The sequence below is a fragment of the Homo sapiens genome, chromosome 4 (assembly GCF_000001405.40).
Source record: "Homo sapiens chromosome 4, GRCh38.p14 Primary Assembly".
Taxonomy (NCBI): Eukaryota; Metazoa; Chordata; class Mammalia; order Primates; family Hominidae; genus Homo; species Homo sapiens.
Genome location: NC_000004.12, coordinates 68,774,943 through 68,787,980, shown reverse-complemented (window position 1 = coordinate 68,787,980; position 13,038 = coordinate 68,774,943). Strand labels below are relative to the sequence as shown.

General features: G+C 32.3%; 1 pseudogene; it reads right to left on the bottom strand.

The window, feature by feature from the left end:
• Positions 1 to 304: 304 nt before the first annotated feature.
• On the bottom strand, positions 305 to 3,392 carry LOC100422026 (UDP glucuronosyltransferase family 2 member A3 pseudogene; annotated as a pseudogene).

Below are 13,038 nucleotides of genomic sequence, written 5' to 3'. Positions count from 1 at the left end.
GATCAGTAATGCTGGGTATGTAGAAGGGCTTATTTAAATTGAAAAATAAAAATCATTATGTTTCTCATAACAAGCTAAGGCATAGAATGCTTAACTGATTTGTGTGGTTTACTGAATTTCGTGAATTTTACATTTTTTACTTCTTTACATCCATGTGTTTGTGCAAACACCAGGAATCAGCATACTGAAGGTCACCCTATCACTTAAGGTTATAGAAGTGATGACATCATGGAAACCATGATATCAGAAATAGGAAAATGTAGATGTATTAATGTCCTTGTGTTAATAAGTGACAGAAGAGAGTAAGGACACCTAGGAAAATACAATGCAACAATAAGATATACTCACAACTTCATGATCGTGGAATTCTAGGCTACTTAGCTAAGATAAAATATCAGAATAGATAGTATGAAAATAGGAAGGGAACATGTTTTCACTAAAGTCTTTGTGGCTGGAATTAACAGGATTACCCCATCAGGTCTTCCCTAAATTTGGAAAGATCTGTTCCCTCTTTTCTATCTTTCTAGTTTTATTAAATTTTTGAGAGGAAAATAAACAACATCATGAGACCAAGAATATAGCAGTTGCCACCCAGGCACGTGGGAACCCAATCATGTCTATAGAGTAGTGCTGGAACCAGGTGAGGTCGTTGGCAGCTGATCGCAGGTGCTTGGCTCCTTTGTGGCACATGACAAACTCAATCCAGGAGACTGCTCTATCCAGGGTCTTTATGGGTTGATCATGGTGAATTCTTGATAATCTCATAGCATCCTCCTTGTAACTGGAAGGCAAAAACACACATAGAAATTAGAAAGTTGTAGTTTTGTTTTCATAAAAGACAGGTAGATAAACTGTAGTATATGTTATGCAAGCTAAAAATTTGTTGGGTAAAAGATTGATGCTGGTTGTGACGTGAACATTATTGGTTGCATAGCATTAAACAGATATAGTGGGGAGACTGAAAAAGAGTATATTCTTAACAAAATGGGGTAAAACAAAGAGGTGAATAAAAGTTTAGTAAGCCAGTTGTTAACTTAAACCTAATATTTCCATGAAGATTGACACACTATGAACTATAATATCCAGGACTATTCCAATACCAAGGTGATTAATGACTTAATATTGCGGAGGAAAATCCCTTAAAATGTCTACCAGGATTATATTTAACATTTCCTGGCATAATGTATAACATAATCAATGTTAGATCAGTCTTTACAATCAGTAGTACTTACGAGGAATTGTTAATGGCTGTTCTCAAACACTGAGTAAATCTTCGCTTGTGATAGTTTTGAAGTTAATTTCTACAGCTGCTCCTTTGGCCTTCCTGTGAGCTATGTTATCAAGCTGATCACCAAATATGGGAACTCCCACCATAGGGACGTCATGGTAAATAGCTTCATAGATCCCATTCATTCCACCATGAGTGATAAAAGCTTTGGTTTGGGGTGACCTTGTATGCAAATTGAATGAGAAATGGTGAGATATTTTATTATGAATTTTTAAAATAATTTCAGCACCAAAGATGGGAATTATGAGATAACTCACTGAAGCGTACAGCATTTTCTTTAGAAGGTGAGCACATGGAGCATTGCTAGTAAAGATCATTTCTATCTTCAGAAAAAGAGGCATTAATTCCTCCTGAATTTCCTGTCACTCTCATCTTAACAATAGAAAGTGTGAGTCTATCTATACAATTTTAGTCAATCCTTTAATTATATCTGCTTCAAAAGTATAAGTAAAATAAAGTTTTATAATTTTAAATATTTGCTGAATTTGCTCACTGTTTAACATTTATTCATTTTTCCTCATCTAGTTCATATTTTTACTTTCTCATAGGCCTACCAAGAAGGTCAGTCTGGGGTATCCAATCATACAGCTTAGTGCTGGTTCCTAATGTGGATGGTTTTTTTTCCTTTGTACCTCCATAACACCTATGGAAGAAACACATGTACTTCACAGATTGAACTACAGGACATTAGCATTCTAAGTATGTAGATATAGTTATAAATTATACACTCATTGTACTTCAGGTGATGGTTGAGACAGGGGTATGTAGACGTACTGTGTAAACACTAAAAGATATAGTAGGACATTTTACAAAGGTCTTTTCAGATAATGTGTACTTGTTGCCTATTAAGTATACAATTATTATTTTATTATCAATCAAAAATATCTGAAAATGAGAATATCAGTGAATAATTAAAAAGTAATTCAGCACTGGCTACTCAATTTTCTAATAAGAATTAAAAATTTTATAAGTACATGATCCCTATGTCATTTTAAACCATGGAACTATTCTACTTCTACCATCAAATTTACCATTCCCCGCAGATAAAATTTGCTTTCAATTTTGTGTGTGTTTTGGATAATCAGTTGTCTTTTCTTCTCTATTTTCTTTCTGACCTCTGCTTTCTTATATTTAACTGTTTTATTGAAGAAGTATAAGCTAGAGAATTACTTATGTTCCGTTGTTCAATGATAAATTTTCTTTGGGATTGTACCTGTTTTCAATAATTTTTAATTGTGGGAAACCTATAAAAAATGTCATACATTTGAAAAGAAATGATGGCACAGATTTTTCAAACTACTTAACAGATAATTTTGTAATTAAAATTACAAGATTTCACATTCCTAATTAGTGTACTTGCCTTTATTGAGTTTGATGTATTTTAGCTAAATAGAAAGTAAAATATCTTTTGGATAGTTTATATATAGCACTATCTAAAGTGTGAAATTCTGGAATTATAGTAGTAACAAAGTTAAAATCAGTTGAGTATTATAAATAATTACATTACTTAAATAATTAAGTTACTATAATATAATTGCAATTGACATTTAACTCTTAAAAACTCTAATTATTGAGAAAGATTACATTAAGCTGAGCTTTTATTTCTATGCAAAAGTACCATGAATACAGTTTTTATGCACTCAAATATGAGAAGGATATTCTTGAGATTGAGACTGATTCTTCTTTATCTTTTTTTTATCAGTTTTCTTTTTTCTGGTCCTTGGAAATAATAAATGTCAGAACTTATTTTGGAACAGTTGGCACATGCCTTTAGATTTCAAATTGTAAAATAAGATGTAGGGGCTTAATTTATTATTTCTATTTTATTATAAACAAACCACAATCAAGAGTGTTGTTTCCAGTAACAGCAAGGATCAGTAGGCAAAAGCTATACTTTCTCATTATGTGAATAGCTACTTATCAGGATTGGAGGTTTTACTGACCTTCTGTGGGATCTGGGCAAGGGCTGAAGCAATGATATTAACCTTTTCCTCTGTAACATTTTGAAACAGTGACCCCAGAGAAAGCACCACAATACCATCTTCCCATGAACTCTGGACAAAATTTTCCATTTCCTGAAGATAAAAATTTCTCTGCATTACAGAGGTGTAATATGAAAAATATTAAAATAAAGGTTATTTACACTTCTAAAATAAAGAGTTGAGAAATTATTAGTGTGTAGTTATATTCTGTCTCTATATTCTGACACATAGAACCATCTAGTCTCTTTTTAAGAAAGTCTATGTGTAAAACATATGGCTTAAATAAATAATCATTCATGACTAGAAAATGCACACAACCAAAACAGTATACGAAAAGTTTCAGTGATAAGAGTACATCTCTTTTCATGTCTGTGTCACGTAGACACAAAATCCTAAAAACAAAATAATTTCCTAACATGTAAAAATATTTTTGAGTAGTGACATCAGCAAGATGGTGGAACTGAAGACCTCTAGCATCAATCCATCTTAAAAGTACAACTAGCAACTATTCAAATATAAAAATACCACTCTGAATGCACCGGAGCTCAGGAGAAAGGTGAAAAATCTTATTGGTTCATGGAAATTAAAAAATCCATGACCAGAAAGAAGAAAGGTCATTTGTGCTGCATCAACCCATTCTCCAAACCAAAATAGCACCACTCACAGAAAACTTCCCTGTACCTGCAATTACCCAGGTGGAAGAAAATAATTGCAGGTGGACGCTCAGTCCCCATGTCAGGGTGTGAATCATTGTGAGAAATCTTCTTTTTTCCATCCCACAGGAGGTATTAGGAGTGTCAGAAGGACTGAACCACCTGGGTTGAATTGGAAGCAAAGAGCAGAAGCACTAATCACAGCAAATGGCAAACAGATCTTGGCAGACGCTTTGTGTTCCTATCAACAGGGAATTCACATTGATGGGGGGGCTAGCCAGCACTACAGTAGTACAGGAGGCACAATCCAGGGGAAGGCTAGAATCTTTGGTCAGATTTTACAAATAACCCAGGTGATCATACAGAGCCTTTCTCTGACCCAGAAACAACTATCAGGTAAGTAACTAAGTTCTAGTTATTTCTTAAGCCTTCCCCAACCCGGAAATTATTACGGCTTTGGGTTTAAGTTCTGGTGCAGCATTGTGTTTTCATGGTCATGATAAGTCTTCCCCAGACAGGAAAACAACAGCATGGAAGAGATTTAGCTCTAATGCACTATTTAGGTTCTGCTATCAAATATAAGCCATCCTCAGAACAGAAAGAATGCTCAGGGTAGTGATTCAGCTCTGGTATTAAGCAGTAATATTTTAACACCACTGCATAACACATTAAAAAGCTGAATCAAGTGGCCATCTTCTTAAATATGCAGGCATCAATGTAAACAGCAAGTATTGTTAAAAAAAAAAAAAAAAAACAGGGAAATATGACATCTCCAAAAGAAACCAATCAAGTTTCAATAATGCACAAAAAGATTCGAAGATGCTTAAATATCTGACAACAAATTCAAAATAAATCTCTTTGAAAAGTTCAGGAATCACATAAACCATAATCAAAAAACTAAAAGAAACTTGGAAAATAATGCAGACACAATATTAGACATTTCAGAAAGAAATCAAAATAATAAAAAAATGAAATCCTTGAAATGCAGGATAAAATTGTTAAACTGAAAAACTCATTAGAAAACTTTAACAGTAGACTTGATCAAACAGGAAAGAATCAGTAAGCTCAAAGAAAGAAAACATGTAATTACCCAATCAGAGGGATAAAAGTAAAAAGAAAGAATGGCGGCCACAGAAATTTTATGACACTATGAAGGGAACTACCTCCACATAATTTAAGTTTCTAGAGGATATGAGAAAAGAAAGGACTAGAAAACAAACTCAATATAATAACTCAATGTTTTCCAAATTTGGAGAAAGACAATAATATCTGGGAACAGTTAGCTTGGACAACACCAGACAAATTCAACGCAGAAAGTAATTCCCAAAGCACATTATAATCAAATTACCAAAAATCAAAGAACAAAAACAATACTGAAAGCAGCAGGAGAGATAGAAAAACAAAACAAAACAACAACAACAAAACATAACACATTCAATAGTGTTACCAAATGGTTTTCAGTGAATTTTCAGTGAAAACAAAAAAAAAGAAAGAAAGAAAAAAAAGCAAACTTGCAGGCAAGAAGAGAGTGGGATAATATAGCCAAATGCTGAAGTAATCAAAAATTTGAAAAACCTTTAATCCAAAAATACTGTACTCATCAAAGCACTTCTTCATATATGAGGAAGAGATAAAGACTTTTCAAGACAAATAAAACTAGGAGAATTCACCAACACGAAACCTGTTTAAGAAGAAATGCAAAGGGTATTTTTCACTCTAAAGGAAAAGGACACTAACATGTAACAAATAAAAATATAAAAAGTCACTGGTAAATGTAAATATATAGACAAATTCAGAATATTCTAGTGCTCTAATTGAAATGTGGTCTAATGTTCTGGCTCCTTAGAGACTTCCCAAGGGTCTGATTTCTGTCACTGAGCTTAAATCACCTATAGAAACCCCAGCATTTGAATGCCTGGGAATAAAGGCAGTGGGGCAGTTTAGGGCAGTACCAGAAGAGCTGCATTATTACTACAGAATGACAACAGGTGAAGTAAAATATTACAAAATCCTGAAAACAAACAAACAAACAAACAAAAACTGGATTTAACTTAGTAATTACATTCAAAAGCCTGGAGAGGCTACAGCTCTTGGAATGGTTCACAAAACTCCCAGAATCTCTAGGAGGGGTGATAGATGAAGGTATTTCCCTACACTAAGCCAGTACATAAAGACTGGGAGATGTGGGTGTTTCTTTAAATCTCAAAATTTAAACAAAGAAATGCAAAACATGCAGACATTGGAAAGCATGACCTGTTTAAAGGAACAAAGTAAACCTTTTTTCAATCCTGAATGAACAAAGATCTATCCATTACCTGTCAAAAAATTCAAAATATCTTAAATACCTATCAAAAATTTCAAAAATAATTAAAGATGCTCGATTAACTAAAAGAACATAGACAAGTTTTTAAAAATCAGGAAAATAATACATATATGAAATAAAAGTATCAACAAAGACACAAAAATTATAGAAAACAACCACATAGATATTCTGGAGGTAAATAATACAATAACTAAATTGAAAAATTTACTAGAGAAATTCAATAGATGACTTGTTCAGCTAGAAAAAAATAATTCATGAATTTGAAATATTGGCCATTTCAAGCTATTAAGGGAGAGGAGCAAGAAGAATCTCATAATAAAATGAAGAAAGCCGGAGGCTTATGGGACATTGTTAACCTGACCAGTTATGCATTATGAGAGCCCTCATGGGACAAGAGGAAAAGATTGAGATAAAAAGTCTATTTAAAGAAATAATGGCAGGCAGACAATTCCCAAATTTGAGGAAGAATATGGACATAGAATTGTTTTAAAATACAACTACCGTACACTGAGATCAATTCAAAAATTTTGCATCAATAAATATCATAATCAAACTTTCAAAAGTCACAAAGAAAGAATCTCGGAAGCAGAAGAAAAATGAATCATGACATAAAAGGGAACTCACATGGTATTATCAACAAGATACCAGCAGACATCTTTTTAAACCAAAAGTAAGTGATGTAACATATTCAAAGTGTTGAAAGAAAAATCAGAAAAGAAAAAAAAAACCTACCACACAAGACATTCATTTGGCAAACCTGTCATTCAGAAATAATGGAAAATTGAATATTTTCTCGGGTTTAAAAAAGGTTGAAGAAGGTAATTATTACCACACCTGTCCTACAGAAAAGCAAAAAGGAGTCTTTCAAGTTGAAATGAGGGAGACTAGGTAGCAAAATGAATGAATGTAAAAGTATAAATTTCTCTGGTAGAGATAAATATGTAATTAAATATAAAATCCCATAAGTTTTTAATGTTGCTTCACAAGTTTCTTTTAATTCTGATATGCAATTTAAAAGAGAAAAGCATAAAAGTAACATTACATTTATATTAATTGGGACACAACACAAAATATACAACTAGTGATATTGCTAACATAAAGTAGGAATGGGAGATGTAAAGGAATAGACTTTTCATGTATAATTAAAGGGTTTTTTGTTTAAAATGAACTGTTATTTTAAAATGTTTATTTTATTTAATATTTATTTATATTTTATTTTTATAATTTGTAATTATTTTATAATTATATAAAATTAATTTTATATTTTATTTTATTTATATTTTATTTATTTATTTTTAAATTTGTTTTATTATATAATGTTTATTATAAAATACTTCATGCAATCCTCCTGGTAACCACAAAATACACCTATAGAACAAGGGTGCCCAATCTTTTGCCTTCCCTGAACCACATTGGGAAAAGAAGAATTGCCCTTGGACACACATAAAATACACTAACACTAGCCATAGCTGATGAGCTGGGAAAAAATCGTAAGAGAAATCACAGTGTTTGAAGAAAGTTTACAAGTTTGTGCTGGGCCACATTCAAAGCCGTCCTGGGCTGCATGCACCTGTCAGGCTGCAGGTTGGACAAGCTTGCTGTAGAAGATACACAAAAAGAAGTGAAAAAAGGAACCTGAACTTACAAATGTAGCAAAAACAATACTATGAAAATAGTTTATAGTAATAAATGCCTATGTTAAAAAGAAGAAATATCTAAAGCAATCTAACTTTACATATCAAAGAACTGACCAAAATTATCAGAAAGAAAAAAGTAATAAAGATTACAGCAGAAATAAATACAATAGAAAATAGAGAAAAATCAGCAAAACTGAGTTATTGCTTTCTTTTTTTGAAAAGATCAACAAAATCAAGAAATTGTTTTCTTGATTAAAAAAAGCGAATAGTTGTATAATTAAAATCAGGCTGAGCATGGTGGCTTATGCCTGTAATCCCAGCACTTTGGAATGCTGAGGCAGGCTGACTGCTTGAGCCCAGGAGTGGGAGACCAGTCTGGGCAACATGGTGAAACCCTGTCTCTACTAAAACTACAAAAATTAGCCAGGTGTGGTGGCATGCACCTGTAGTCCCAGCTACTCAGGAGGCTGACATGAGAGAATCGCTTGAACTCAGGAAGTGAGGGTTTCAGTGAGCTGAGATGGTGCTGCTGCTGCACTGCAGCCTGGAGACACAACAAAGACCAAGCCAAAAACAAAAAGAAATAAGAAAGAGAAGACATTACAACTGATGCCATAGAAATAGGTTGCAAGAAAGAAAATATTGGTAAATAATTTATCAGCTAAGTGTTTTATATTCAAAATATATGACAATTCCCTATAATTTAATAGCAAAAATTCAATTAAAATAATTCAAAGACTTGAATACACATTTATTCAGAAAATATAGACATATGGCCAAAAAGCATATGAAAAGATGCTTAACATCACTAATTATTAGAGAAATGTAAACCTAAATTACAATGAACTATCACATCATAACCATTAGCCACCTCAAAATATTTTTGAATACATATATTCACACACACACACACCCCCCCCCCCACACACACACACAGCCCAGAAAACAAAAAGTATTGAAGATAATATATATAAATAGGAGCTCTTGTGCATTATTGTTAGGAATGAAAAATGGTGACACCCGTATAGTTAAGGTATGGAGGTTCCTCAAAAAAATAAAATAAAATAAAATTACCATATGACCCAACAATGTTACTTCTAGGTATTTATCCAAAATAATTAAAAGTAGGATCTCAAAGACATATTTGCACATCCATGTTCTTTGCAACATTATTCACAATAGTCAAGAGAGCAAAGCAACACAAATGTCCATGGATGGATGAATGGACAAAGAAAACATGGTATATAAATGAAATGAATGATTTTTTTAGCTTGTAAAAAAGGAAAATTCTATTCTATCGTATGTGACAACATTGATGAAGCTTGAGGATGTTATAACAAGTTGAATAAGCCAGTCAAAAAAAGATAAATACACATATAAGTGATTTCACTGACATGTGGTGTCAAAAGTAGTAAAACCCATAGAAAGAGAAAGTGGAATAGTGGATACCAGGGGCTGGAGTAAAGGGAAAATGGTATGTTGTTCAATGTGTTTTCGAAGATGAACATTTTCTAGAAACCTGTGGCACAAAAATGTAAATATACTTTAACATTGCTGAATTGCAAACTTAAAAATTGTTAAGATGGGAAATTGTATGGTAACTTTTTTAACACAACCAATCACTCAGAAGTTACAAATAAAATTGAAATTTTTAAAAGTTACATAAGTTTCACTAAACTTCAAAAAAAAGCTCCCTTAAAAGTAGTGTGTATACCATCTAGACTGCTTTATTATTTATTAATTTTTAACTCTCCATTTTTTACCCTCTCTCTAACTACTCATCTACTTTGAACTTGGTTTGTATTGGATATCAATTAATCAACATAATCTCAAAGACCTAGCTCTAATTTACATTCCCACCAACAGTGTAAAAGCATTCCTATTTCTCTACAGCCTCACCAGCATTTATTGTTTCTTGACATTTTAATAATCACCATTCTGACTGGCGTGAGATGGTATCTCATTGTGGTTTTGATTTGCATTTCTCTAATGATCAGTGTGTTGTGCTTCTCTCCAAGGAACATGCTTTCTCACATTCAGGAGGCTAGAAGTGTGTAATCAAAGTGTGATTAACAGAGTTGGTTTCTTCTAAAGCCATTATGATTGGTTTGTAGATGGTTGCCTTCCTTCAGTGTTTTTACATGGACTTCCTTCTCTGTGTTTGTCCTTATGTCCATATAAGATATTCTCTATATGCCCTCATTTTATATTAGTTTTTTCCATAATGGCCCTGTCTCCAAATGTAGTCCTATTCTGAGGTACTTGGGGTTAGAACACAAACAAATGAATTCTGAGTAATGAGCCATGACTCAGCCCATAAGCACTATTTAACATTTCAAAATAAATTATACATTTTGACAAAAAAAATACCAATAGTAGAGTATGCATTCTCAATATCTATGCTTTCTATTATCCCAACATTAAGATAAACAAAGTGAAAATAAATAAGATGTCCAAATGAACATTCCAATAAATCTAAAGAAGAGAATCCAAATCTTCTTATTAGAACAATTAAGATCTCATGGAAAACTTTCTTAGACTCAACCAGAAATCCTTTCCGTTGTATTTAATTTTAAGTGCATAAATTCCTATTATATAAAATTATTTTAGAAAGCTTTTATGTAATTTGTGCTATATTGCTTAATTTGATGATCTTTTCCATGAGGACAGCTATATTCCACTTTGACTATTGGAATAAGTAGGCTGTCCAAAGTCCAGACTCATTCACCATCAATTGACTGAGAAATTAAAGCATGAAACACATTTAGGATGAATCTGGCTTATGAGCTTGCTGTACTTATTTTAAACCAAGGGTAAATTAAAGGAAGAGTTGGTCATGAAAACTGTGAATGTCTTCTGTGTGTGTGTGTGTGTGTGTTTGGTTTTGTTTTTTTTTTCCTGCTGAATCTGTGTTTCTTTGACTCTGGAAAGTTTGGGAAAGTACTTGTCTGGCCCATGAATTTTAGTCACTCAATTTAAAAGTTATTCTAGAAAAACTCCAACTTGATGGATATGAGATAACCATGTTAGCACCTCCACCAAGCCTTCTGCTTGATCATGCTGATTCCTTTTAATGTGAAGGTTCTCCTACTTTCAGTAAACTAAGAAACCCTCACAGAAGATATCTTTGCTTTTCTCTACAAAGCTTCTTTAGAACTGCAGAGTCTTTCATGGTGTGGCAGGCAAATAAAAATAAGGAGTTACTCAGCAGGCTGTAGGCAGCCAAGTTTATTTGTTTTGCTGACCCTTTAGCTTACTATGGAGAATTGATGGCTGGGCTTCTCAACATTTCATTTATATATTCGTTTCTGGTTTCCCATGGGAATCCCAGATGTCTTACCTCTTCTTTGTATATTCCCGGCAGCACATCAGGATTGATGAAAAACATGCCTTAAATGCAGAGGCTAAATGTTTTGCTTTGTATTTTTTGTTTGTTTGTTCTTGGTTTTGAGAGGGTTTTGGTCTATCTAACTTGCGATCTGCTGGTATTATATGTTATATTTCCAGAACGGTATGAATAGTATAGGTCATAGTAAAGGATTATTATCCTTATCATTAATATTTAATATTTAAATTGTGATTAAATATTTAACATTGTTGAAATGATACTGTAGTACGGTAATAGATTTAAAAAGATACTGAAGGAGTGAGGCTGAGGTATCATACTCATTTCGGTAAGTATGGAAATACTGACAATATTTTTTGTAGATTAAGTAATAAACTATTACTACCACAACATTTTAGAAAAGGAATATTTATTATATTTTCACCTAAACCCTTTCTGATGTTTCTTACTCTTTGTAGTATCTCCGTGCCTTTTATATTGGATGTGATTTTATTGCATTTATTCTCATTTGCTCATGGTTTACATTTCTTGATGGTTTGACTTGGTTTCTAGAGTCAGAATTAAGTTTAGGTTCATGATGCAGTAATGTAGCCCTAAAAATAAATATTGATTTTATTCTTCTTTTGACAAATGACAGAAAAGCAGGAAGATATTTCTATAAAGAATCATAATTTTAGGCTTTGGATTATATATGAAAGGAACAAGTGGGAAATATATTCCTCTTTAATTTCTTATCAATTTTGTTTTCAAATTCAGCTTATATCTGTTTACAATAAAAATTATCTGATATTTTTATGTGTTATATCATTTCAGCTGTTCTTGCTCCCTTACTTTCCCACAATATAAACTGATGCAAAGGACTAAACTGCAAAAACATTTGCAAAATAAATTTTATGCTTATCTGGTGTGCATAGTTCAGAGTTATGTCCTTTTGTTATTCCTGTGATTCCTGTTTTGAATGCCTAAATTCTAACTTAAAAATCAAATATTTCTCTCTACCACATGTCATTGAACATTAATACTATTTTGATTTACTTAATCATGATTCCTCTATGTCAGCTCACATACATGATGTACATTTAAAGTTCTATTGAATTCAGTACCATAACTAAAAAATATTGATGATCTCTGTTTGAGAATTTAGAATACAGTAATTCTAAATTTAAATCATAACCTGACACAGATTATTGTAAAATTTTTCTTCAATTCAAAGCTTTTATGTGTCTAGTAGGTATAATTATTACAGTTTTACTTATGTATTATCATTGTAAGTTCTTTTTATAAGAAAAAAACAGAGACTCAATAAAATTGGTAATGTTACATTATATTCATGTAGAAATATATTTTTAAATTTATTTAAGGAGCATTTTTAAATAAATATTGTGCGTGCTCTCAAAATTAAACCTATATCATATGTATAAAAGTAACAATATTTTACTTTATTGTAAAGCCTAAGATATATATTTATGCTAGAACGAACCTCTTACATTAAATTTGGAATATGAATGACTTAACCCATGTCATAAGTGGCCTATTTATTTTAATATACACTTTATAAGCTCCATTCATGCCAGGTCCTGAGCTAGCCCCTCATGATACAAAGATAAATAAGGCTTCACTATAATAAGTTCTCTGTCTCTTTCTTTCTTTCTTTCTCTCTCTGTCTCTCCATTTCTCCCATCTCTGTCTGCCTGTCCTCACACTCCTTCACCACACTATCATGTGGTATACTAAAATGAAACAAATTCAGAGAGTATTGTTCCATATATACATTTCTTTCTTAGAAAGAAGAGAGAGAAAAGATACAAA